General features: G+C 40.5%; 1 protein-coding gene and 2 long non-coding RNA genes across 13 annotated transcripts in view, besides 7 other annotated features; 2 read left to right on the top strand and 1 right to left on the bottom strand.

The window, feature by feature from the left end:
- Positions 1–27504, bottom strand: part of MYO16 (myosin XVI) — a 712290-nt gene that overhangs the window by 34552 nt on the left and 650234 nt on the right. For all 7 annotated transcript variants that reach the window (XM_011521062.2, XM_047430183.1, NM_015011.3 and 4 more), the window contains one exon: positions 8395–8553. In XM_011521062.2, coding sequence (XP_011519364.1) covers positions 8395–8553 — 159 coding nt within the window. The remainder of the gene's footprint in view (positions 1–8394; positions 8554–27504) is intronic.
- Positions 6151–9549, top strand: MYO16-AS1 (MYO16 antisense RNA 1). Its single transcript, NR_047700.1, has 3 exons — positions 6151–6435; positions 6744–6818; positions 9363–9549. It is a non-coding gene; the product is annotated as an MYO16 antisense RNA 1 (long non-coding RNA).
- Positions 11131–11190: a silencer, noted in NCBI's record as "silent region_5497". NCBI's record gives its function as "represses an Ori minimal core promoter by ATAC-STARR-seq in GM12878 lymphoblastoid cells {active_cell/tissue: GM12878}" and the evidence as "EXISTENCE:reporter gene assay evidence [ECO:0000049][PMID:35858748]".
- Positions 13094–13599: an enhancer, noted in NCBI's record as "H3K4me1 hESC enhancer chr13:109812203-109812708 (GRCh37/hg19 assembly coordinates)". NCBI's record gives its function as "activates a minimal SCP1, AML or CMV promoter by ChIP-STARR-seq in primed H9 embryonic stem cells {active_cell/tissue: H9 hESC(primed)}" and the evidence as "EXISTENCE:reporter gene assay evidence [ECO:0000049][PMID:30033119]".
- Positions 13600–14105: an enhancer, noted in NCBI's record as "H3K4me1 hESC enhancer chr13:109811697-109812202 (GRCh37/hg19 assembly coordinates)". NCBI's record gives its function as "activates a minimal SCP1, AML or CMV promoter by ChIP-STARR-seq in primed H9 embryonic stem cells {active_cell/tissue: H9 hESC(primed)}" and the evidence as "EXISTENCE:reporter gene assay evidence [ECO:0000049][PMID:30033119]".
- LOC105370356 (uncharacterized) lies at positions 13666–26497 on the top strand. Of its 5 annotated transcripts, none has more exons than XR_001750008.2 (6): positions 13666–13762; positions 21372–21600; positions 23535–23686; positions 24309–24406; positions 24693–24872; positions 26285–26497. It is a non-coding gene; the product is annotated as an uncharacterized LOC105370356 (long non-coding RNA). The 5 variants fall into 5 exon arrangements; XR_001750006.2 differs by having other exon boundaries at positions 21372–22353; XR_001750007.2 differs by having other exon boundaries at positions 21372–23672.
- Positions 16096–16645: an enhancer, noted in NCBI's record as "H3K4me1 hESC enhancer chr13:109809157-109809706 (GRCh37/hg19 assembly coordinates)". NCBI's record gives its function as "activates a minimal SCP1, AML or CMV promoter by ChIP-STARR-seq in naive H9 embryonic stem cells {active_cell/tissue: H9 hESC(naive)}" and the evidence as "EXISTENCE:reporter gene assay evidence [ECO:0000049][PMID:30033119]".
- Positions 16096–17803: a biological region, named in NCBI's record as "P300/CBP strongly-dependent group 1 enhancer GRCh37_chr13:109807999-109809198".
- Positions 16604–17803: an enhancer, noted in NCBI's record as "P300/CBP strongly-dependent group 1 enhancer chr13:109807999-109809198 (GRCh37/hg19 assembly coordinates)". NCBI's record gives its function as "activates an origin of replication core promoter dependent on BRD2, BRD4, P300/CBP, MED14 and CDK7 cofactors, with strong dependence on P300/CBP, by STARR-seq in HCT116 cells {active_cell/tissue: HCT116}" and the evidence as "EXISTENCE:reporter gene assay evidence [ECO:0000049][PMID:35650434]".
- Positions 16646–17196: an enhancer, noted in NCBI's record as "H3K4me1 hESC enhancer chr13:109808606-109809156 (GRCh37/hg19 assembly coordinates)". NCBI's record gives its function as "activates a minimal SCP1, AML or CMV promoter by ChIP-STARR-seq in naive H9 embryonic stem cells {active_cell/tissue: H9 hESC(naive)}" and the evidence as "EXISTENCE:reporter gene assay evidence [ECO:0000049][PMID:30033119]".

The following is a 27504-nucleotide window of genomic DNA, read 5'->3' as shown; positions in this document are numbered from 1 at the left end:
AATTAAACTCAATTTGAAAATCCCAACCTTCTCTATGAAGCATCCTTAGCAATCCCAGCCCACCAGACTCATCTCTTTTATCTATGTGGAAAGTAACAGAGTAATCATTATTTATGGGATTCATTTGACATTATTGCTGACTGCCTTATTTTGCAGTCTCCTTGGTATGTATTTTCAATGTGCTCCGTATTTTCACTGTTCACACACAGAGGTCATCTTGTGTTGCTTAGGTAGTAGCATAGGGCTCCCATGCATAACACAATGCCTACATGTGACAGGTGCACTTGGTAAGTGTTTTGATTGACTAATGTGCACCTCTCTCTTCACTGGGTTTCCTCTTGCCATCCTGCCCTTCATATTATTTTGAATCCTCCAACCTAGATATTAAATAGACCCTTCCCCTGAACTCCACCCAGATATTCCTGCTTCTATTCATCCCAGAGATTCCAAATTGTAATGTCTGTCTTTGCCCTGAATACCAGCACAAGCCATCAAAGTAATATTGTGTATTTGGCTGTACACGTGGGCATTTGTGTCTAAGAAAATATCATAAAGCACTGATCTACTATTACAGCCTCCATGGTTTCAGAGAAACGAATTCACTGCCTTGCACCTCCATCTACCTCATTCATGTAATTGTTGTTTCTGTTGGATAAACCCTCATGACTCTTCTAGCTCTAAAACACATAATATTTTATGAATAACTGTGTATAGGTAATATTTCTTGAGTATTAACTTTCTGCTAAATTTCATCATATAAAATACAGCAGTCCATGAAGTAGGTGCTCTTATTATTCCCATTTTTAAGATTAGAAAATTGAAAAAGAGAGGTTAAGTAACTTGCCCATGGTCGGGGAGTTAATAAGCATCAGAGGTGAGCTTCAAACCCAGGCAGAATGATGCCTTAAGCACTGGGAACACTATTCCACTGCAAGGAAATACCAGACTGAGCATTTCAATCTATTCCTTTTCAATACTGACTTCTCAACTGCAGTGGAGAAAATGTAATTAAATAATATCCAAATTAGAAATTATTTAATGTGACTTTAAAATGCTTTTAACTAGAAGGATGAGTGGGGCAGGGCTTACTCGATGCCCCAGGAGTTTTCTTTCTTTGCAAAGGTAACTTCTGTTGCTTAAAATAGATGATTGCAACATATTCCAGATTGTCAAGTGAGGCTTGCTTCCTTTTCTCTGGCTGTTAGGCTTTCAGTCAGACAAGGGTATGCGTTCCAAAGAAGGTGTACAATCTCCATAAAGAAAGTGATGTTGTAAAATACATATTAAAGATATTTATGGGTTCCAACCAAAGGCTCCTTGGCTGGTGGTTTGGATTGATTTCGAGGTGCGGCTGATGGAAGCCCTTCTTAGATGTTCCCAGAACTGGTGTGGTTTGGCGCCCTAATGGCCTAAGTTCAACAAGGCACCGGAGTCAGAGCACAGAATGCAGATTTCCTGGTCCTGCAAATGATGGCCCCCAACCTTTTGCCTTAGGAAGCCTTTATTCAACACAAATAACCCTTATTGTGCATTGAGGATGAACATAATGCAAATTAAAAATAGACAACGTATACAGAATGATAAATGTAAATGCAAACGCAATGTCTGTATTCTTTAATTGCAATTTTTCCTGATACCCAGCCATATTATGTGTATTCACTGAATAGCAAGAAAGAAAATAATACTGAACATAAAATGCCCTAGTTGGAATTTTTTATATCTGTGTGTCCCCACAAAATAAACATCTTTATGTTCACAATATTTTGTTTGATAAAGCTAAAATGTTCTAACACTAAAAACTGCTCTCTAATCTAATGATAAATAACCACAAGTCCAGGGAATAATTAAATATACAAAAAAAAGATCCAAGTCTGCGCTCGCATCAGTAAAAGGATGGCAATTAAAGTAAGTGATAGCTATAATTACGCACACATAACTATATTTCAACAAATGAACAAACAGATAATTATTTCTGGGAAGCAGAGGTAGCATGCAGATACTGGCATTCAAAAGAGAAATGTTTCCTAGAAAATAACACTGTTTCTGATTCAATTAGAACTTTAAGTTATTTTAAACATTTATTTTCATCTTGTGCCCTTATTTAGAAAGTGCATTGGCTGCACTTTGTAAGTTATGAACCTGTACTAATAATTGCTTTAAGAGTTATCATGCTCATGTATACATCACATTCTGCACATGTGTAATGTTTGTTCAATTTCTATAATACTGACGAGGCAGTTTTTCTGACTCTGCCCTCTGTATGGGATTTACTGGTTCCTCCGTAACAAACAACATTGTTTCAATCAGCAAATGCTTACTCAGGGCCTAAGTATAAAGGGTATTGTGCTGGATGTTTTAAAAATCATGGGGAAAGTTCCAGGCCCCCAGAAATTCATGGCGCTCACAAGAGTAGATCAGCATAAATGTGTCAAGTTGCTTTGAAAGATTGAATTTCCAATTGAAATAATTTTCCTTTTGCACGCATAACTCTTGAGATTTTCAAGTGGTTTTTACTTAATGACAGCATAGAACCAACTTTATTTTAAAAATTGTAAGTGTGTTAAGGGAGAACACAGAAATCTGTGTTGCAGGCTTTGGCCGTACACACTATGTGTTACATGCTGAAGTTTAGAACCCTGATACTCCTAAAGAATTTATATTATTAATTTCATGGATCCTATTTCACAAACATCTCCATTTTGGTCTAGAGGGTTTCTGCTTGTTTCCTTGGTTTTTGGTTATGTTTTGATATTTAGAGTATGACTTGCCGTTTTTATTATTATTATTATTAAGTTTTTTAGGATCATTTCCGAAGCTGTAGTTTTTGCCTTTTGCCTCAAAACACAGAAAACTTAAATATTTTGGTGAAGAGAAGTTCCCTTTCTCCATCTCTTTCTTCCTCCTTTTTTTTTTAAATTGCAGAATTGTAACAACCACACAAATAAAATAAAGAAATAGAACACTGGCAGCTCTGCGGAAGCTCCTGTAGTCATCTCTCCAAATCGCTACTGGCCTTCCCCTCCAAATGAAATTGCCATCCTCACTTTGTGGCAGTCCGTTCTCCGAGCACCTCTTCCTTTTCAGGCGGGTCTGTAATTCTAGAGTGTGTGTAGTAGTATTGCCCTGGAGTCTTCAGTTACATTTCTCTAGTTACTAATGAGGTTGGACTCCATTAAAATTGTTTTTCTAAGTGGTATTCACATATTCTGTCCAATTTTCTTTTCAGCTGTCTTTTGTTTTTAATTTAAATAAACGTTGAATATTAGCCTTTGTTGGGTAAATGTGTTAAAAATATTTTCTCCCTATTTATGTTTTTTTTTTTCTTTTTTCTTTATGGTTAAAACTTTTGTGTCTTGCTTAACAAGCCCTTCTTTCCTTTTATGAAGTAAGAAAGATACTCTCCTATTGTTTCTTCTATCCATTTTATGATTTGACATTTGACATACAGATCTATAATCTATCAGGAATTGTTGTGTGTATAGCATTAGGCAGAGTCGAGTTTCACTGTTTGCTCCACATGGATAGCAATCAATTATTCTTCCCCAGTGCTCTCACATGCCAATTTTGTCATAAATTAAGTGGCTAATTATGCAAGCTGGAGTAATATTATTTTCTTTCTCCTTCCTTCCTATTCTCTGAAAGCGTGTACGTGACATTGGAGTTATTTAATCCTTAGAATTTTGGAAACATTTAGTGGAGAAACCATCTGATTCTGGAATTTTCCTTGTAGGAAGGCATTCAATTACAAATTCCATTAATTTAACATTTACGGTGTTATTTAGCTTTCCTACTTCTTTTGTCCATTTTCGTTAGTTCTTTTTTTTTTAAGAATGTATTTGTTTATGTAAATTTGTAAATTTATCTTGGTGTAAAACTGTTTGTAATATTCTCTTACTATTTTTAATTTCAGCCAGATCTGTATTGATGTCCCCTTTTCAATCTAAAATCTGTTATTTGTGCCAATTTTCTCTATTTCTCTATCCCCTTGCAAGAAAATTTTCAATCTTATTGTTTTCAAAGATAATTTTTTAAAAGATAAACAACTTTCTCTTTCCTTCCTTTCTATCCCTTCACATTATTTTATTTGTTTTATATTTCAATAACTTATGTTCTTATTATCACTATCATATCTTTCCTTCCATTTTCATAGTATTTAGTTTTTGTTCTGTTTCTAATTTCTAGACCCTTTTAACACTCATCGTATTTGTTCTCTTGTGATGCAAAGGTTTGAAGCCATACATTTCCATTTCTTAAGAGATCTTTTGCAGTAACATGGATGGAACTGGAGGCCATTATCTTAGGTGAAATAACTAAGACACAGAAAGAAAAATGCTACATGTTCTCACTTATAAGTGGGAGCTAAATAACGTGTACACTTGGGCACAGAGTGTGGAATAATAGACACTGGAGACTCAGAAGGGTGGCAAGGTGGGAGGATGGGATGGAATGAAGCATATGAAACGACTTAATCAGGACAATATATACTATTCAGTTGATGTGGACACTAAAAGCCCAGCCATGGCCACGATGCCATACAGCCACATATTGACCATACCGACACTGTACCCGAGCCCCTTCCACTCATACACAAAAGACATTAGACATGTCCTAAAAGTTCTGTTGTCATATTTGCATTGTCATTAGTTAAAATATTTTGCTTTTTAATTTATTTTGTGATTTCTTCTTGAATACATTGATTACTTAGAGATTTTATTTTATCTTATTTTTTTAGACAAAGTCTGGCTCTGTCACCCAGGCTGGAGTGCAGTGGCGCGATCAGGGCTCACTGCAAACTCCGCCTCCTGGGTTCAAGCAATTCTCCTACCTCAGCTTTCCGAGTCGCCGGGATTAAAGGCATATACCACCAAGCCCAGCTGATTTTTGTATTTTTAGTAGAGATGGGGGTTTCACCATGTTGGCCAGGCTGGTCTCGAACTCCTGACCTCAGGTGATCTGCCTGCCTCGGCCTCCCAAAGTGCTGGGATTGCAGGCGTGAGCCACCGCGCCTGGCCTAGAGATGTAATTTTTGACGTTCAAATATATGAGCACTGTTTTTGCTGCTTTTTAATATTTGCACATTGTATCTTTTTCTTTTCTATCCCTTTACATTTACTCTTTCAGAATCCTTATGTTTTACTGTTTTCAGAAAACTTAGTTTTTAAAATATTCTGCTAATCATTTTTCATATAAGTTTACATTAAATAAGCCTTTTAAAGTTTATTATAATTAAATAAAGTTTATTTTCACATGTGTTTTCATATCTACTGTCTCAGAACTTTCTCCTTGCCCTATTTTTCCTATTTTATCCCCTTTTTGCATCTTTTGAGTTGACTTTTTATGATTTTATTTTTCTCTCTTTACTAGTTTGGATATTATCTACCCCACTAATATTCTTTCAGGGGTTACCTTTGAGGTTACAACTGGCAAGGTAGGTTTATCAGTGTATAATATTAAATATTATTTTACCCCTCCAAATTTTACTGCCTTTTTAGTTATTCTTTATTCTTTCCTTTATCTCTAAGCATTCTGAGTCTGTCAGTGTTTAATTCCTTTCATTTTTATTTTTTTTCCTAAAAATATCCTTAACTCCCTTTCATTATTACAGGAATTTTTGGGGGGCAGTTATTTTATTTGAGCATGTTAACTATGTTATTTCATTGTCTTTGGACTTCAGTTGCTACTTTTCGAAGATAGTACATATTTTTACCTCTAACTGCTTTTAAAATTAATTCTCGGTCTTTATTTTATAGGTGTTTTACTATGATACACCTAGGAAAGTTTTATGTATCCTACTTAGGCTTTGCAAAGGTTTCTGTTTCATTTTTACAAACGTTGGATTGATTATGGTGTAATTTAGAGACAGTGAGATTCACCTTTTTTAGACATACACATCTGTGCATCTGCAGACATGAGCACTCCAGGTTGTCTATAACACCACATGTCCTTCTGAACTTCATCTCCTGCCATTACGCCCAGCCTCCAGCAACCACTCAGCTGTTTTCTGTCTCCAGCTTTGCTTTTCCCCAAATGTTACATAAGCAGGATCACACTTAGTCTTTTGATTTTTTTTTTTTAACCTCAACACAATGCTTTAGCCATCCCTTTTTTTTATGATGCTCATTATAGTTGATCACTCTTATTTATTGCAGGCTTCATCCATGTGCTAGTTCAGCCTGTGAGATGCTGGTGAGCCCACCTCCAGGCACTCACGGACTCCCCACCCATTGAGTGTGGCCTGGATTTAGTGACTCAATCAAACGTGACAGAGTGCTGGGGTGTCATTTTCAAGACTGGGTTATGTGAAGACTGCAGCCTCCATCTGGGGTGCTCTCTCTTGGATTGCTTGCTCAGGGATGTGGGGAGAGCTGCTGTGCTGGGAGGCTGCCCATGTGAGTTGACTTGGATGTGAACCTTCTGTGGCCTGCCAATAGCCACGTGAGTGACCTTGAAAATGGATCAGCCTTCACTCAAGTCTCAAGATGACTGTGGTCTTGGCTGACAGCTTGATTGCTGTCTCATGGGGGACCTTAAACCAAAGGCACCCTGCTAAGCCACACACAGCTTCCTGGCCCACAGAAACTATGAAATAATAACCATTTCTTATATAAGCCTCCAAGTTTTGGGAGTAATATTTTGCACAGTGATGGATCACTAATACAAGCCAGTCATCAGTTGAAAGACACTGAATTTATTTCCAGTTTTATGTGATTATGAATAATGTCACCATATGCATTTGCATACAGGTGTTTGTGTGGACACTGCTGTCATTTCTCTTGGGAAGATACTGAGGAGTCAGATTGCTGGATCCCGTGAAGAATGTATGTTGAATGTTATAAAAATCTGCCAACTTAAATCTGTTTCCTGGTGCTCTTTCGTCAGCATTGGGAGATGCTCTAACATTTCTCACCAAGTCTTTCTTCTGCTCATGCGCTCCCTCTTCTTTCCCTAAGACTTCAATCATCCTCCTCATTGCCCTTTATATCTCTAAACCATTGTCTGGAGTTTCCATTCTTCCCTTTTGCTTCAATCTGTTTCATTCTGGGGATTTTCTGAGTTATCTTCCACTTCTCCAGTTATTTTTTATTTGTTTTGTTTTTAAACAACTATATCTAATTAAATTTAACTTTATCCTCTGTTGTACTCAATTTTATTACTGCATTTTCCAATTTCAGAATTTCCATTTGACGATTTCCTTATAGTTTCCTATTTCTGCTGAAATTCTCGTTGTTTTATTTCGTGGGGGGCTGAGTAAACATACTTATTTTAAGGCATGTGTCTTTGAATTCCAACCTTTTGAATCCCTGTGGACATATTGCAATTGGCTGCCGTCTCTGCTTTTAATTTTTTATCTTATTTTGTGTGCTCCTATGCCTGGTTATTTCTAACTGTGTTGGACTTTGCATTTGAAAAATGGTTTCTATGAATGTTTTGAAGCCTAGGATGCTATTACTGCCCTTTGGGGAAAATGTACACGTGTTTCTCCCAGGTACCTGTAGGCCTGGTTACATCTGGGCAACTCAACATGGTTCTTGGTTCTGGTTCACTCTGACTCTTGGGAAGAACACTTGAAGGCCCCACCCCAAGGCCTTGGTGGGGCCACGACTCAGTTTCTTGCCCTGTAATTTGAGAAGGCAGTCAGAAGCACAACTTGACTTCTTAGCTGCCTTCTCTGAACAATGTGGGTACCCTTATGTCCCCATGAGCCAAGCTTCAAGTGTGGGCTTCCTTGCTTCGGCTCACCTTGCACCCCACTCCCAGGTCTTCAACTGCTTCCCAGCATTTCAGCATCATGATGGTTCTCCCACGCCTCTAATTAGACTAAACAAACATGCTTTTCCCAGCCCTGCGGGAGGCCCTCAGGAATAGTTGGTCTGAGTCTTCCCATCAGTTATTCCCAGACGCCTTTGTCTTCTTTTATTTGTGAGAGAAAATACTTGCGTGATCCTCAGCTTTTGTACCTGCAATCAAGCCACTTTCTAAATGTGGCACTCATTGATGTACTTAAAATACCTGAAGCCAGTCTGGCACTTATCATTTCTTTAATATTATTTTCCTTCACATTTCTTAGTTTCCAGAATAATTTTTTAATTAAAAATATTGGTAGAGAATCTATTGCCTTCTTCTGCTCAGTATAAGACTAATTTTGGACCAGTTCTTTTAGATTAACACTCCATAAAATTTCGGAAAAGTCAACAAGGAGTGAATAGAATTCCAATTCTTTAACTGAAGCAATCATATGCTGACAATAATACTTGCAGGGGAGTTTCATGGTTTATATTCTATTTTCCAGTTCTTAACCCTACTTCATTTTCATATTTTAAATCCATTCCTCCCAGAAAGTTGATACAGCCTAAAACTTTTGTACATTTACTTCTGAGTTTAAAAAGTGCTTACCATTTGAGATGGAATTTCCATTTTCAGCAGTTATAGCACTAGATAGTGAATTAGATAACTGAATTCCATGGTTATTTGCATTTCTGTCTTGAGTCTCGGAAGTAATTTCTGACGTACTAGGGTCATCTCGGCTACTTATGTTCATGTTAGTTTCAAAACCTAAAATAAATTTTAGAAAACATAATTATTTTCTGATAACATGTACTGAATATACTGAATAAAACATTTGGAGAAAATAATAAAACATCAAATCAAACATTCATGACATTTAAAATAATAATAATCTTTAATAAAATTTGTAGCCTATATAATATTCACCAAATTTTGCCACAACAATGTCAAACAAAAAGGAAAATGTCAAGTGGTAACAATAATTTGTTGCATTCAAACATATTTATAAAGAATTTTTGATGTCATAGATCAAATAACTTGTCATTATAGTATTGCCTGTCATGAGAAAGCAATGAGTTCATGTTTCAGGAGTTTTCTGAATGATTACATTTAAATAAATTAAGGCAATCTTACAGCTTTGGAAAAAATAAGAAACACTTGAGTGATAAGAAACACTATAGTGATATTTTCAACATCACTATAAACACTTTTAGTGTCCATGTTGGAATACTGAACTTCAATACTCGACTTCCGCATTCTGCACACTAAGATAATTACTTAAATATGTAATGCTTGTCCTATGTTAAGTGTTTTGAGAGGTACGAACACGAAAGCCACTGTCCAAATTCCACTGAAGGGCCTGATGAAGACTTTTTAAAGTGATGTAATATTAATAAAGTGAAACACAGCAAATGCTTCTATTTGGAAAAATGTCCAATGGAGGTAGGTTTCCCCATGGTCACTGCATTACCCTTAGGCACAAAATCAGACTTTGCAAATCAGGCACAACTGCCATCAAGGGGCCAGACATCCCCCCATCACCACCTCTGCCAAGTTCCCTTTCTCTGACTTCACAGGTGCACCTGGGATTGGCTCTTGCTTCCTAAGGAACCTCAAAAAAGCTGCAACCTATTGGAGACTTTTGATTCAGCATCAAGGATATGCGTGAGACTTTGGTTCTTTTCTGTTGGGACACAGTTGATTCTGACTGTCTTAAAGTTAGGCTTTTCTAAAGATTTAGACTAATAAATTATTTGAATGGGACAACACACATCATTTGCTTTATTATACTTTAAATATGGCAGAACGGTGTATTACCACCCCAATCCCAATCACCGGTACCTCCATAGGCAGAGATGTTATCCTTATTTTGCTGAAGAAGGAATTAGGGTTACTCAGAGTCATGCAGTTGGAAAGAGATAGAATGGAACTTTAACCTGTATGTTCTGATTATTATTCAGTCTTTATTTTTCATTAAAAGACAAATTGGATTATGTCATTTCCATGCTGAAAAGTTTTGGATAAACTGCTGTTGGTTGCAATCTACAGAAAGAAGGTAGGAAGGAGACAGGGAGGGAAGGAGGGAGGAAGACAGGAAAACAATGAAAGAAAGCAAAAAAGGAAAGAAAGGGAGGGAGGGAAGGAGGGAGGTGGGAGGGAGGGAGGGAAGGAGGGAGTGGGGAGGGATGGAGGGAAGGAAGGAAGGAAGGAAGGGAAGGTTCCATCTCCCCAGAGCTTATCTCTCAAGGCTGGTCTTGACTTGGTCCCTCTTAACTCCTACCTTGACATTATCTCCTCTTGCCTCTCGAGACATACCCTCAAATAGCACTACAAGCAATGCATGTTTATCCAAATTCTCCATATTGACTCCTGTTTTCTTGCTTTGGTGCACTCAAGCCCTCTCCCGCATCAACCCCAAGTCTTCCTACCCACCAGTCAGGACCTTGGTCAGATCACCCGCAGGGACCTCTCCTTTACAGCACAGAGCACAGCCTGTTCTGCCCAGAAAGGAAAGCAGGTCAAGATTTATGAGCAGGAAACGCTGGATAGATGGAATAAAGGCAAAACTATCGGCATTTTGAAAACTAGGCAGAAGAGTTTAAATTTAAATGATCCAGCGAGCCACTGTGGCTCCTGACTCCATTATACATAAAAAACAAAGACCTTCAGTCAAGTTAGCATGTACAAGAATGGCAACAAAAGTGAAAGTCAGGTGATCTTAACTGTTTTAGCTCTTGACAATGAGCAATTATTGAATGGGCTGAAACTGAAAGAATACTTATTCAATGTGGTCAACTCTAGTTTGGCTTTTTTTTATTTCTGTTAAGCTTCCGAATGCCAGTAAAACAGGTTCTGTTTTAAAACTGGCTCAAGATGTACTCACCTGCTTTTATGTTGCTTTCACCTATTTTATTTTTGCACTCTTTAATTCAGTTATTTATTGGGTGCCTACTATGTGCCAGATACTCACTGAGTGCGGGAGATACATAATGAATACCACTGCCTGGTACCTGGGAGCTTCTCTCCCAAAAAGGTGATTGGCAATAAACAAGCAGATACACAAGCAGATAATTAAACGTGGTGGACTCACAGCTACGTGGAAAACCTAGTAAGTGGAAAACACTGGTGGGCAGCCAGGCAAGGTGGGTGAGGTCCATGAGGTTGCATTTCAGCTCGTGATTTTAGAAAGGCAACCTCCACACCATGTGTAAATACCCCAAAGCAGGAAAGAGCTCACCATGTTCAAGAAACCAGGTACTAATGAGTCAGGGCCTGGGAAACCACCAAAGAGGAACTGAGAGGTTTTATTCTCAGCGCAGTGAGGGCTTCCCCAAGGCTTTGAATGAGCACAGTCCTCTTACACCTGGTGGCAATAAACGAATCCTCTAAGGCACTTGCTGACTCTCAGTCTGAGTACTTCAGGCTGGCCTCCCTCACAACTGATTTCTATCTCATCAACTGATGTATTTAAATTGCAGCCAAAATTCTCATTTTTGCAATTAAAGTTTAAACGTATTTCTATTTTTCAATTGGCAGGTTAAACTATAGCCAAGACATGTTTTTTGGGCTTTGTTTTGTTTTTTGAGGCAGAGTCTCTCACTCTGTTGCCCAGGCTGGAGGGCAGTGGCACGATCTCAGCTCCCTGCAACCTCTGCCTCCTGGGAGATTCTCCTGCCTCAGCCTCCAGAGTAGCTGTGATTACAGGTGCATGCCACCATGCCCGGCTAATTTTTGTATTTTTTAGGAGAGTGAGGGTTTCATCATGTTGGTCAGGTTGGTCTCAAACTTCAAGTGATCTGCCTTCCTTGGCCTCCCATAGTGCTGGGATTTCAGACATGAGCCACTGTGCTCGGCCACCATGACATGCTTTTAAACGGTCACACAGGTTAGGCTGAAATCCTTAAATTATCTGCTAAATTTTAGTTTTTTAAATCTTAATTTATAATTAAATTTTAATTTTTTAAATCTTAAAAACATTTATCTACTTAAGCCTGGCTCTGGATGGGAATAAGGGAAAAGGCCCTTCTTAACGTAAGGCATAAGAACTAATGGTCAGCATGATACTTCCTCACATTGCTCTTACAATAGTTACCATCACCCAGGTGTATATTAGGTGCCAATTCCCTGCTAGATGTGGTGCTTGGTTTAGCTCTGTTCTCATGACAATTCTGGAGAGTTGTCACTATTACACCTATTTTCGAGATGAGATCATTGAGGCTTGGGGAAGTTAATCTCTGTGTAAACATTTCACAACTCATGGCAAGGCAGCCAGATTCAGACTGAGGCCCAGAGGGCTCAGCAGTCCCCACACAGTCATTCTTTTACTCTTGGCTCCTCTATGTAAAGTTTTCCTTCACTGTTTCATTTGTTGATGTAAAGGATAGGATATGGGAGCTTCTTTCCTGTGACGAGTTTACCACCCAGGCCTCAGTGGTAATGAACTGAAAACTGTAGGTTGCAAAGCTGCACTCTGGCAGCTGCAATAGTGCTGCGGCTTCAGTATCGACATCCCCACTTTGGGGTTCTCCTCTGCTTGTAGTAGCCGCGGCATTCTACTGAATTATGCATCAGCCTCCGCTCATAAACACCCTTCTCCCAGTTAGATCCAAACACGTGAAAGCAGCCGTGCCCTGACTTGTTAATTTCTAGATTCAACACACTGAGGATTGAATGCAGAAACTCTGGATGGTTGGGTTCTCCCGTAAAGTGGTAGCTTAGCACACAACATTCCTTGTCAAAAGCATTCCCACTACCCAGCACTTCAGCAGTGAGGGAATTACAACAATCAGAAATCAAGAGGACAATGGCATTAAGTCTGAAGAGGTCTTTGTTAAAAGTGCATATACATGATGCATGCTTTCAGGAGAATTTTAGAAATAATACAGTGCAAACAAAGTCATCAAGACTTTTCATGCCTTCAAGCAGTGGCCAGCAGGGTTCTGAGAATGAAGAAAAGTCACATCAAAAGAAAATATTTGAAACTCTCAGTGAATTTAGTTAAACAACTAAGGAAGTGAATACTGTACATCCTGTATAATATTTAAAGGTGTGTCTGAGACATTTTTGTGCCTCTGTATCTAGTGAAGTAAGGGGTTGTGTAGTTCAGTGGCATCCTGTGGTTGGGTCCATGGAAACACGGGTTGGTTTGGACACCTGCAGTGTTTTCTTTTGGCCTATTAACAAGATTTCTCTGTGACCTCGGGCTCGGTGCTATTTTTACAGGTACGAGAGAATTGAATCACATCAGGATCTGACTCAAAAATAAAGTCTTGGCCTTTGCATTAAGATATGATTATTAATTACAAGTTTGCAGTGTAGGTACATTTAAGGTGAATTTTAATCTAGCGAGAGCAAATCTCTAAATGTTGATACAAAAAATTCGGTTGTCTTGTGCTAGTTTTTATATAACTGAAATATCACTCCCAGTCAATGTGATTCTGTTTTAAATCATGGCTCTTGATAGGAGGTGCTTTCTGACCCCCAGGGGACATTCAGCAATGTCTGGAGACATTTTTAGTTGTCACAACCGGGCGATGGGGTGTGCTACTGACGTCTGGTGAGCAGAGGCCAGAAATGCTGCAAAACATCCTATAACACACAGGACGGTCCCCCAACCTAGAATTATAGTATCCAGCTCAGAATGTCCATTGTACTGAGGCCGAGAAACCTCGCTTTAAAACATAAGTCGGATCATGTCATTCCCGACTCCAGCCTCTCTGCTGCTTTCTGAGTTGATTCACATTAAGATCCAAAGGCTTCCTGAGGCTGAGAGGACCTTGCATGCCCTGACTCCTGCTGGCCTTGGGCCCCAGCCCCCCTTACACGCCTTAGGCCTTGGCCTCGGTCTTGCCTTCCCGGCCCTGTCAGCCTCCCAGCCTCTCTCTCCTTCTCCAGCGTCCAGCAGGGCATGGCAGCTGCACTGTGTTCAGGCCTTCTGGATGACCTTCTGAAAAACAGCACCTGTCTTCCTCGCCAGGTCAGTTCCTGTCCCCACTCCTTGCTTTAGTTTTCTACACAGTCCTTCTCACTGCATGGCACAGAACAGCCCAATTGTTTGTTTTGTGTCTCCTTCCTCTGGAATGTGGGCAAATACAATGTGCGTTGTATTTTCAGTGCCTAGAATAGAGCCCGGCTCACAGATGGCACTCAATTAATATTTGTTGAAAAAGAAAAAAGATGAATGAACAATAAATTAGTTTTAATAATGTTGCTATAGAAATTCTCTTTCTGAAAGGAGCTACACTTTCCATACCTGTAAAATAGCTTGCACATTTACTAAATGAAAATTTTATGCAAATAAGTACAGTAAAGCCACGCACCACAATGATCATTTTTCCCCATTCACACAAGATTGACAACTTACGGAAGCACTTTCAGTGTTAATCCACCTTTGAGTGCTGATCTTTACTTATTTAAAATTATAAGATAAGGAAAATATCTCATTGCATGAGGTGAATATTTTCTTTTATGCAATGGAGTGGAGCTGTTTGTTTTCTACCTAAGCTTGTTAACTTATGAGAGAAAGGACCTATGGTTGTTTGAAACTGATTCCTGACCCATGGTTTGAGAATTCAAAGACACAAGGTCCATACATAGTTTTTTAAAATTGTACTTTACATTGCTTTACAATCTGTAATATCAGGAGATAAAAATCAATTTGATGAATGTTGGCATGCTTTGGCTGTGCTGAGTGTGACTCTGGAATCCTGGTGACTGGAGTGGGCACAGTGGGTTGACCCGTAGTTACGTGAAGGGGCTTCCATGCACCCCTATCTTCCCCAGGCCTCTTCCAAGGCCGAGGGAGGGACTCAAGCAATGTACAAACAGTTAACATTTGTAATACTTTGTAAACGTATACTTTGATTTATTTTCTCATTTTGAATAAATGTCCACTTAACTCTCTAAATGTTCATTTTTCATCTTTATTATTATTTTTTTAAAAAAGCTCACCTTTCCCCAATTGCATATGCTTCAATCTCTGGACAAAAACCAAAATGGGTCTCAGGCATAGAGCCTCTAGCCATAATCTACATGATGAAATCTTTACCTTTGAGTAATTCACAGGCGGGAGGAGAAATAGGTGTGAGGTCACTGGATGAGACTACAAAGGCAACGTCACCTCCGGCTCACCTTGGAAATGTTTTATGGGAAAAGTCCAACTCCTCAGACAGTAACAAGACTGTTTTATAAGTTTGCCATGACAGGAGAGGTATGAATAAGTTAACATCAGGGATGTGTCTGGGAGAGGAGACACAGGAAGGATTTTGTGGAGGGAGGGGGAGGTAGGATGGAAGGCGAGAAGAGGAACTTCTCTTAAGGAAGAATGCAAAAACTCTGCAAGAGTGGAGAGACGTTTCTTAGTGGGGAGAGAGAAATGTCCTTGAATAATTCTGGGAGAGCTGGAGAAAGACAGGGAGCATAATGGGAGTTAAGATGAGTCCTTGCTCCAAACCAAGAGTGACAAGAAACCTGGCAGAACGGACAGCACGTGGTTCAGCCCTGGGAAGGCAAAGAGATGCCCTGGAGCGCAGTGGCCACTCTGGGGAACATGAGAGCTGAATGAAGAAGAAAGGAAGAGGGGTGGACCATGAGCAAACTATATTCCTCCCCCAAGCTAGGGAGCTCTCCACTGATTCAACAGGTATTCACGTCCTACAAGGTCCAAACCTGGTGCTAAGATTTACTTTAGAACTTAAAGAAATATTCGTCCGAAAGAAACAATCCATTGAGTGCTCACATTTTAGAGGGGTTATGGAGCACGGCAGATGACAAGAATTTATGACGACCGGGTAAGTGCAAGAAGAAAAGGGACTACATCTATCCTGAGGGGTATAGAAGAATGAAGAATCTGACGCATCACTGTGGGACTCGCATCCTGCTCAGCTGAGCTAATTTTGACGGTTTTATTCACTTGTTAAAGCCTTTGACACTTATAATGCCAACCCATGTGACAGGGACATCCAGGGTGCATTCTAAGGGGTGCTTTTCCCCAGGCTTCTCTGTGGTGACTCAGCTCTAAGGGGGACTGTCTTCAAGGTGCCTTCAAGGCATGTGTTAAGGTTGCAAAGGGCCAGGGGGCTGGGATGGGAGCTCTGCAAAATGCTCTAGGAATTCTTAGGAGAGGTCAGAGTGGGCTGGAGCAGCCAGGTGAGCCTTTGTTGTGTAGGCAGGAGGAAGAAGCAGTGGATTTTGAGTTGAGGACGGAATGTGGAGAGGGGGAGGGAAAAGGAAGGGAATGCCGCAGAGGCAGAGCTGACTGCACTCGTGAGGGAGGGGAGGCTGGCTCTGCCCACACCTCCGCACCGGGAAGTGGGAGCAGAGAGCTTTGGAGTCTATGAGCATCACAGGACTGGGTTCCAGCAAGTATTTTGAGCAAGGGCATGCTGTGAAGAATAAGGTTTTTTTTTTTTTTTTTTTTTTTTTTTGTAAATACTAATCTAGCAAAGAAAGTATACAGCTGAATGGACCTTGAGGAGAGATTAGAAGTAGAAAGAGAGTCAGGGGAGAGGCTGGGGAAGCAGAAGGAGGAGTGGAAAGGCAGGAGGAAGCTGAGTTCAATCCCACTGAGCGGGAGAACTGGGACCTGATGGGGACCACAGCTGGGGCGTGGTTCAGAGCAGCAGCTCCCACCTGAAGAGCAGGGTGCATCTGGGGTTGTACTTGTTGACTTTGAAGTGACAGCCGCAGGCCTGAGGATTAAATTGAGTGGCAATTTTTTGAAGAAGAGAATTTATTAGGACTGGAAAGGAAACAGCTAGGAGAGACTTAAAAATCTCTCAGGAAGGAGAAATTTTCAAGGAAGAGACACTCTCGAGTGTGAGGAGGTAGCAGGAGGGGACGCCCAGGTGACTGCCGTGCAGGAGGGCAGATGTGGGCGTGCAGGAGGGCAGATGTGGGCTTGCAGGAGGGGCTGCAGGCCAGGAGCCTTGGCAGAGGGCAGGACTGTGTGGCACGCAGGGCGGCTGACAGCGTCAGTGCTGGGGAAAGGCCAGGAAGCAGGGGAGAGAAAGGAGCCATGGAATGTTTCCCCAACAAGATGCTGAAAACACCACTTTTCTCTTAGGTACCTGCGCTAGAGATCAGATTAGAGTGTATTTTAGAATCCTATGAGATGGGATCCGGGTTTCAGTAACGCAGGAGAAAAACAAACTATAGCTGTTTGGCTGACTTAATACTGAGAGTGCTATGTAAGGCATAAAAAATGTGAAAATACATTTTAAACTCATTACTCATACTGGCTATAACTCATTCTGAAACTCTATAGGAAAATTCCTCTTCAGAAAGGCTATTGCATGAAGGGAATGTGCTTGTTTTTTCCTACTTGGCATTAAGGAAAAGTACAAATGCAGAGAGAGGTGCCTGGCAGGCTCCCACCACTTCTCAAGTTCTCGTTTGTAAAATTTAGAAGTCGCAGCTCGACAGCGCTTGCAGATACACATAGATGGTGCGTAATTAAATTTGGATACAAGCACTTCGACCTGAAATTGGCGTCTAGCTTGTGTTAAACCAAATCTAGTTTGTGTTACACAGGGCAACTCCTTTTAAATCTCTAAAATATAGATTTCTCTGAAACCCTGTATTACTGCACATGAGGAAGAAATGCAAACAGGGCTTTGACACCCCTCTCAAGTCGACCTGCATCCTACTTTATAAGCTTCTAGGAAGTGATTTGTTTTCTTTTACATAATATGTTTTTTCTTTTACATGATAGAATTTTCTTTCCTTTCCATGATAGCATAATCCAAATATTTGTGTTATTGCCTCTCAGAAAGACGAATTTCAGATGTAAAGAACCACAGAGGCTAATCTGAAACTCAAGAAGAGAGAGTTCAGTGGAGATGGGTGGATGTGAGGAGAGTGGAGACTGCTACAGGGGAAATGTGTTAAACTCATGGAGGTGACACACTGCAATTATGCATGTTTTGAACAGCACAATTCTAATTGCCTTTTGAAAACGTGCAACAGATTTTATCATCCCTTTGTGAATGCTTGCAGAAATATATCAAGAGAGGGCGTCTGAGTCTAGTGGTGATGGAGATCTGGGAAGAGAACTGGGTTCCCAGGCAGTTACTCTTGTGACACAGCTGTTACCCACACTATGTGGACAGGTCATATTTCTATAAGCATTGATTACTTAAGAAACAGAAAAATACATCACTGCAGACCTTGGAAAGGTTGCGTGTGCTGAGAAACTGGATTTGCCCGGCCCTCTACTGACTTTAAATGTCTCGGGCTGGGCTCCCGACATTCCTTCCTACTTGTTAATAACCCCTTATGAAATCACCACCCTGGAGTAGATCGAAATTCCTCTTGAACTTATGTTTTAAGCATTCTTCTCTGGTAGCGAGTGCCGCAGATACTTATCCTCCAGGTTAAGCGGGGAGGAATGGAAATGTCTGCTCCTCCTTCACTCCTAACTCTTGTCACCCACCCCCCCGCCAAGTCGAAGGAGATGGTTTGTGCTAGAAAACACCAACTGAAGTAGGAAACAGAGCGATGTCTTCAACAACATATGTGCTGAGCAAGGGAAGAATGCATTGATAGTAAAGCTAAAAAATGACTGTCAGTATAAATAAGGTTTTCAGTACCCAAAAATGCACAGAAAATTAAGTTGTGCCAATTTCCTTTTAAATTTAACTAACTGAATCCTTTTTTGCCCATTTATTCTGTCCCTGCCATAAAGGGGAAAAAATCACTTCAATCCCTTTCCTTTTCTTGTACTTGGGTAGCTTTTTTTTTTTTTTTTTTTTTTTTTTCATAATTAGCCGAGTATGCAATACCTAAACAACATGCCTGCTTGGCCCAGAGCCCCATTCCTCATGCATACTTTTATAGGTCATGAGGTTATTTATATTGCTGTTATTTTTACATTTCCTCAATGCCAGGTGGTAACGTAAATCCAGGAGTCCTGAGCCACGATGTGTGGCCAAGTACGCGGTCGGTGTCAGCAACATATGTTTTCCTGGAGGGAAATGGTTCCTCCTCACTTTCCCCAGAAGGCAAAGGTGAGAAGATAACGTCCCTGCTCTTCTGTTGGGAGTGTTTCGTGTTGGTGACACCTACAGCCTGGATGGTAAGCTAGTGGTGCCTGTCCTCTGCTAAAAAAGAAACAGCAAAAATTAAAGAAAACAGAAAGAAAGAAAAAGAAAAATTACAGCAGTGGTGGATGTGAGGTCTTTTCAAATCCCTTGCTCAGAACTCATTACCAATTTACCCATCTAAAGTACTTAATAACAAAAAAAGACACAGACCAGGGCCCATCGGAACGAGCATGAGTCATCGACCTTGAGCATTTTGCTGTGTCAACATTTCACCAAGGAGAAACGTGGCAGGCCCGGGCCAGGCCACCCAAGGCGGTGGGATGGACGTGGGGACCTTGAGAGCTCAGGGCAGCAGCCCTGCACCAGCTGGCATCAAGACATTTCCATATTTTAATAAGAGTGTGGCAGCACCTGTGGACACCAGCTGAAGCATAGCCCACCTGCCCACACTCACTGGCTCCCAGCCAGGAGCTCGGAGGCCTTGAAAAATAAATTTAAAATATCTATGGAGATTCAAATTCTTCTCGAAATTCTGGAAGAGCTACATGGACCGTGTCTTTGATAGCCGTAGCGGTTGCATCTCTTTCTGGTGGTAGATTGGCTGGAGTGACTAATTCTTTACGTGCTCACGTGACCCAATTTCCCCTGATGGGCCACAGGGCAGGTGCCAGTCACTCAGGAAGGACAAATGACTGGGACGCAGTAGAGAAAGGCTGAGCCTAAGCTTCCAGTGGATTCACACTTCACCAGGGACCACAGGAAGACACCATGAGGTGGCCAGGCAGGTCGGTGGTGGGGTTTCCCTTCTCCTAGCCTAGCTGTTAATTTCTTAAGTAATTAATCAGCCCAGATTAATCACTTTTTTTTTGAGACAGAGTCTCGCCCTGTCGCCCAGGCTGGAGTGCAGTGCTGCAGTCTCGGCTCACTGCAACCTCCACCTCCAGGGTTCAAGTGATTCTCCTGCCTTAGCCTCCCAAGTAGCTGGGACTACAGGCCCACACCACCATGCCCGGCTACTTTTTGTGCTTTTAGTAGAGATGGGGTTTGACCATGTCGGCCAGGCTGATCACAAACTCCTGACCTCAGGTGATCGGACGGTCTTGGCTTCCCAAAGTGTTGAGATGAGCCACCTCGCCCAGCCAGATTAATCATTTCTAAAGTACGTAGGTTCACATGTAAATGAACATAGAAATAGCAAGAAAAAAATCTATCCTTTCTATATCTATATATCTATAGCTATTCTGATACAGTTACTCCAAAACATAATTTGATCACGCCCTTTGAAAAATCCTTTTACTGTGCAGGATAAGGCACACAGTGGCTTCTAGCACACAAGAGGACAACCTCCTCTTGTTCTGATGCTTTCTCTTTGGAGATTTTGTTTCCTATTTGCCCGTATAAATCCTCCCCTGTAGACCAGTGTTTCAGAGGACATATTTGTGAGCTGAGAAATCAATTTAGTGGGTCATGACACGCACTTTAAAATGAAAGAGAACAGAATACCATGAGTAAAAATGCAGTGTTGAACGAGCGTCATGGATACGTCGTGTTTTGTGAATCCCGAGTAGTATCTCTATGTAAAATGTGAGTCTCGTCCCCTGGATGCGTCGGAGTTTTCAAGTTTCCTTGCCATGGTCTGCTTAAGAGAGAGCCCACATTTCATTTTAAAAATCCATACAATTCCATGCAATGTCTGGCACCAAATAGATTCCTTGGAATAAATGAATGAAGTGTGCCCTTCGTATTTAGTGATTTTTCCGAAACCTTTTTGAAATTTTGAAGCAAACTGCAGATAGTAATAGGAAATACTACTGCTAGTTTTATCATTTTGCCTGAAGTTAACCTCTGATATTTTGTAGCCTAGGAAGAACTACATATCCGGAGGCATGCCATAGGGTAGTTTTCTCACCTGATAAAAGGAACGTTTGTTTCTAAAGCTATTGCAGAGGGTTCCGAAGACATGCTCAATCCCCGCAGAAATGGAAATGTATTCCGATTAGCAGCTGTGCCACATCACCGGGTGTTTTAATGATCATCAGATTAAAAAGACGTTTTTATGATCCCACATCTCCAGATATAAAGCACAGAGCCTCTTTCCTGTGTCACTGTCCCTAACCTCTAAATTAGAGATAACTTCAAGCCTGGGTAAGTGAATGGTGGCGACCCCCTACTAAGCTGCAACTACATCAGTGAAATTAATGTTCACGATTAGAGTTTTACTGTCTGGAATGACATGTAAGTGATTCAACCAGATCTCTAGTTGTGCTAATGTTTATGTGGTGCAAATAGGGTGTGATTAGAAGGAACTAGAACAACACCAAGAGTGTGCTCCTATCTCCGAAATCAAGGTCCCGTAGCTTCTCTTTCCTTAAAGACTGAAATAGTTACTCGAAAGGCAATTTAGCAATTAAAAATCTAAGGGGACTTTGTTACTAAGGGGGCTTTATTACTGGTAATATATACAAAGGTAGTTAAATACCAAGAGACAGAGTCAATCAAATTCTCATAAAAAATTTTAAAAATGTATGCTATTTTGCCTTATAGGATCTGCTGCTGGGCACTGGTTATTTACTTAAGAAAGGATCTGTGAACTGGCAGAAGTACGATGGAGGCCACCTACTTTAAGTTGGTTGTTTGCACTCCTGTATGTCCCCTCCATCCTGCTGTTAAAGCCAGTCTGACCCCCTCCAGCACGTCATCTCGCCTGAGAGCTGAAGTTAAGGGAATGTAACGTCACCAAACGGATGTGGCCTCAGCAAGTAACTTCATAGCTGTGAGCTTTGGTTTGCTTTTTAGTGACATGGAAAGGCCTGTATGGTGAAAGTTTTCACTCATTGCTTTGCCTAAGTCTTCTCATTTTCACTTACTTCTTCCCAGTTTATCCAGCTTTTCACATAAAAGGAAAATAATAAAGCCAAAATCCAAAACATACATATTTTTCAGGGACACACCCTCATGTACCAATTGTGCATATATCACTTCTTCCTGCTTAAAAATGGAGATTTCTTTTGAAGGGTTATGTTTGATTTTGAGCCAGAGTTTTCAGTATGAAGAAGCTCTTTTTGGGCTTTTAGGACTTCAGGTAATGCACAAATTCTCAGGTGTCTCTCGCAGTCAGTGTTCTGCTGTAAATCAGTGCAAGTCTCGGATCTAGTTCATGTCTGACCTTGTTTGGGCTCTGCATAGTTTAGAACTTAGTCATTTGCGTGGAGGAGAGAAATGAATCATATTGTTTATTGTCATAATTAACATGTGTTATTAAATTTGCAAATGGCCACTAATTGCCCATGTACAGGGTCTAAGTATGAAAACTGAAGATTTCAAGGAGAAACCAGGATGGAGTCAGTAAAGGCCTGAGAAGCTCTGCACAGAGTACATGGTGGACGGCTGTGTTGATTCATGGAATGAAGCACTGGGTGAAGTGATATTGAATATAGCTCACTCTCGATGGCGTGAAATTTTGTAGGCTAATCTGGGGATTAATCATAAAAATGACTGAAGTCAGGCATAAGGAGCCTAAACACTGGTAGGTAATTGGGAAATAGGTTTTTCTCTTCCAATACTCTTCAGGAGAGAAAGAGCATGGCACCTGCCCAGTCTCTCTTTAGGACAATATTCCATGCACCATGTTGCTTCTAAGCATTTCTTCACAAAAGGAAGAAAACCCCAGGATATTGTATTATGTGGCAATAATGAGATGCAGATAGTCAGGAAGGTCTTTATTAACTTGCTTAAGGAGAGCTGCTGAGTGGCTTAGAGGATAAAGGGCTGGATTTCTCTTTAGAGCCCCCAGTGGGAGTTTAATTTGCAATCCAGTGTAGAGACACAATATACAATAGCTGCTTGCTTTAGTGGGTTGATAGTATGAAAAATATTTACTGGTTATGAAAGAGAATCCACTTCTGAGAAGTCTGCCTTATTTTCAGAATTTCAGGTGCAATAGATCCTTTCCCCACTGACGGTGCATTATAGAGCATCCCGGTTGTAAAGGCTTCTTTGTTGCATTTGGTTAATCTAAAAAATGATAACCTCTTTACGCTAGATACGTATCTCTGGTCTGACTGACATGCTAGCTGCCGCAGATTTACAGCTAATATGTTAAGGTAATTTCTCAGGACAGTTCATGCAATTCATAGGGTACCTTTTTGATCAGATTGATCTAAATATTTAATAGTCATAACCTTCTGCTTGGTTTTGCTCCTCGGTTTCAAAGAATAATGAAGTGGCATGACCTAGCGGGAACAGCATAGTCACGAGAGCAATGAGCTTTATATTTTCCCAACAAATATTTATTGAGGGGCTGTGAGTATAGCCCTGGCTTTATTTAGTCATGTTTCTCACTTTGCTGTTACCGATGTCGGTTTCTACGTACACATAATTGAGAAAGGAATGGATTTTTGCCTGTTTAAAGAAAGTTGCTGTAGAGACAAACGATGAAGACTTTTTGATTGTCTGTCTTTCCCCTGTTCCAATCATGGTCGCTATTGAGAATCACTGCTGATCATCTGTCTGTACAGTTCTTAGCATGGTTCCTGGTGCTAGGTGAGGGCCCACCACCCATTTAATTTCTGGTGGGTCTGGGGCAGGCATCTGACACCCCACTTATGAGGTTGAAGTCCACATCCCCAGCAAGTCATATGTGTCCTACAAAAAATATGCTGGGCTACTCTGCAAGTGAGTACAATTTCAGTGTGAATTTCTTTTCAGTAATTAGGAACTCAGTCCCAAGTAAAACTTTAAAGAGGCCAAGAAAAAGAGAAACGGAAAGTGAGGAGACACGAGTTTTGGATGTGAGGAATAATCCTAGTCTATCACGTGTGCTGTGCATCCCTGGTACTGCAGAAGGTATTTTATGGCAGGTGGGTAGAAAGGATTTTCCAGGAAAGGGGAGAAAAAGAGGAGGAGAAGGCAGGGGGCACACGAAGAACATGCTCTGTTTCAAAAGTGATGTCTGGTGGGACATTGACAATGGGCAAAACAGTTTTATCTGTCCGCCTCCCACATGTTTTCCTGGCAATGAGTTTGTGTTTAACTTCAGAGGGGAATTCCTTTCTCAAACAGAGACCTTGTATCATTATTTTAATTTTATTGTTTTCAGAGACTATGAAGGGCATAATAGAAAGAATCCAGGGTTTGGAGAAAGGAGATGTGTTTGATTCCTGACTTTGAGACTGATTAGTTTTTGTGATTATGGGAAAATCACTTAATCCCTCAAAGTCTCAGATTGCTCATTAATAAATAGGGATGGTAACACCTGCTTTACCCGCCTCACTGAGACGCAAGGGTCCAGGGGGAGAAAGGAGACGTCAATGTGCTTGGTCAACAGGAGAGAGCCACTTACAAATAGCTGTTTATATTATGACCAGGATGCCATTAACACGTCACAGTGTATATCTGAGTATTTCCCATTATACGTATGCACCTAGAAGCGCTGCTATGGTTTTTGTTCATTTTCTTCCTCTGGCTCTTTGCACTTTGTAGGAAAGATCCTAAGAGTTAATGCTGAATTCCTATGTGACAGAAGAGAAACAATGGAGATAATTCAGAGCCTTGTCATCAAGCTAACAAGGAGCTTCCAGGTACAAAGCCTATCAGGCTCTGATTCCATGCAAGGAAAGTCATTTTCTCCTCCTTCTTCCTCAAAAATGCATGGCTATATTCTAAAGGAACCACACACCCTGAAGTTTCATGTCTCAACCTATATTCATCCATTGGCCTGCAGTGTCTATTACCCTGACTTCTGCACCTAGAGAGCTCCATCCACCCATCATCCGCCTCTAACATTCCTCTTGCCCTTCTGCCAGCTCTGGTTGCAAGGCCCTCAGATTCTCTCAGGCATTTACCTCTTTCTTCTTCTGGCTGCAGAAAATGCCGTGTGTGCACATCTCCTGCAGCGGCTCCTCACTTTTCCCACGTCACTGACATTTTGGGAGGATCCGATAAAGCTTATGAAGCCTCTGCCCAAACAAGTGGCATGTATACCATGGGGGCTCATGGGCCACTTGGAGCTCAACTACGAATCCACGAGTGGTTTATGGCCCTCAGGTTAGAAATTCTCTCCTCTTTGGAATTTCTTTCACTGAAAGTGGATGCACCTTCTGTCTCTTATATGGTCTGTGAGAGGGCAGAGGCAATGCCAGATTTGTTTATCAGTGTTTTGGATTTCCAGTAGCAATCCCTGTGCTTACATTAAGTACATGCTTATTGGATGACTGTAAGGGAATTAGCTCCACAAGTTAGTGCAAGTCTGGTTTATAGGCCTCCTGCTTGCACAATTTCCCTGTATGAATTATTGGGCATTTATATAGAGAAAGCGCTACAAGTTGTGAGAAAAATGTCACAAACATTCACAACAAATCCTTAGGCATTAAAAATATATATTTCTAATTAATATAGGGAACAAAGAGCTTTGTGCTCTTAACATAGATAAATTTGGTTACTGATACATTTATTAACATTGAAAGTTCATTTCGAAGTGTAGATGAACACAGTATTATTTCTACTAGACATTTAGGGGATTAAAAACAATGAAATATATAGCTGCAAGTCTCAGGCACAAGCACTCTTGGCTACTACAGAGAGGCAAAGAAATTAGAAAAAAAATCCTTTTCTTCCAAAGAGACATATTCTCTTCTTGTCAAGCCCAGGTCTATTAACATGGCAAAGGAAGAAACTTCACACAGCTCCTGCTTGCTTAATGTCCACTTAGTGATAAATGGAGACCCCCCTTCTCTGGGGGTGTTAATCTAGTTTCCCCAAAGGACTTACTCGTTTGGAAAATGAGGAAAATTATGCATTGATTTAAAATGGTTCTGGAATGCAGAGGAGCGCCCCACTTTGTATGAGACAAGAATTCAGACAGTCACAGATCATCAGCAGAAGAGCACCTCAGTAAATTATCTTCCACACTTTTTCTAATTTTCATGAGCACTCCCACCCCCAACTCCCCACACACAAATAAATCACTGTGGGGAGAAATCATCAAGGGGAGTGAAAAAGATTTAACTGCTTCAGACAGGATAAAACACTACAAGACCCGCACATAGGCAAGAAGCCTGGGGGATGCTAAGCTCTGCATCCCATTATGGGATGTCAAGATTTGCATAAGGCAGACTAATGTCTCATACTTCAGTCTCGTTTCGATGTGTCAGAGAATAAATGACGATAATGTTGGAACTTCTGTTTCAAACATCAGGAGCAGAGAATAGCAATTTGCACACACCGTCCTGGAGCACATCCCAGGTTTCCATGAGTAATTCAGGGGCATTTGAGTCATTGTAAAGCATCCTGCATCTTGTCGCTAAACAATGAATGGGTAACTGCACTTGATTTGGCATAGAAACATCTGAAACCCATATGATATTGACTTAGGATGCAATTGCGTGTCTTTGAATTTTGATCTTTCATAGTTAGTTCTACCTGATATAATATTTAGAATCTTTTTTTTTTTTCTGTAGTAGAAGGGGCTGTCTGCAAGTGTTCCCTTGGAGAAATTTGCAGAGTCACATTGCTTGGTGGAATGCTAGCCCAAGAATTATTTTGTTTGTGTCGTGAAAAATGACGCCCTGGCTTCGAGAATCAGGCTTTTGTCATGAATAGCAGCTTCATGCTCGTGAAGACTGAAATGGATTGATTGGTTTGAGTACTTATTAAAATGCCTTAAGAATAAATGTTTTTTTCTTCTTAAAGAACATCTATGATAAAATATTTATAAATATTTAAATATATATTATTTAAATGGTTTGACATTGGTTTTCTTTTTTCTCTTTCTTTTTTTCTTTCTCTTTTTCTCTTTCTCTCTTTCTTTCTTTCTCTCTTCTTTCTTTCTTTCTGGGCAGTGTATTGCTCTGTGGTCTAACCTGGAGTGTAGTGGAGCAACCACGGCCACTGTAGCCTCCACTTCCCAGGCTCAAGCGATCTGCCCACCTCAGCCTCTCAAGTAGCTGGGACCGCAGGCACATGCCACCATGCCTGGCTATTTTATTATCATTATTGTTTTTTTTGTAGAGACAAGGCCTGGTTAGCTACTTTGCCAGGGCTAGTCCTGAACACCTGGGCTCAAGCGATCCTTCCACCTCAACCTCCCAAAGGGCTTGGATTATAGGCATGAACCACCATGCCTGGCTGATTTGACATTGGGATGCACTTAAAAATGATCCAGTGCCAGAGGAGGGAAATGGGCAGGAGTAGAGATGAAATAGGATGGGCCACAGAGAAGGTTCATTAATCTATTCTTTATACTTTTGTCTATGTTTGAAATTTTCCATAAGGAAAACTTGAAAAACAATTATTTTGTAAACAAATGGCCCTATGGAATAAAAGTATATTGTAAAAAAATTGTTTATAAAATACTCTCACTCCAAACTCATAATGTTCTTATTCAGAATATTTATGTAATCAAATAAAATATTTGAAATTAATAGTGACTTCCATTTAGCTTATGTGATCCTTATTAAGTAAAAATGCCACAAGAGCTAGTTCTATCAAATAGATTTGTATGTCAAACTGCTCTTTTATAGGTAAATTTTACCTCAAACAACTATTTAATAGCCACCTACTATATGCAAAGAAATACTGTACATTACAGCTTTTTTGTTGACATCATTTTTAGTACCTGTTTATAACTTATAAGCTAAGGATGCACTGTATCAGAATGTAATAAAACTGAATTTTTAAA

Source organism: Homo sapiens, chromosome 13 (assembly GCF_000001405.40).
Source record: "Homo sapiens chromosome 13, GRCh38.p14 Primary Assembly".
NCBI classification, from domain to species: Eukaryota; Metazoa; Chordata; class Mammalia; order Primates; family Hominidae; genus Homo; species Homo sapiens.
Note: the sequence above shows the minus strand (reverse complement) of the source record. Positions and strands in the feature narration are given on the sequence as shown.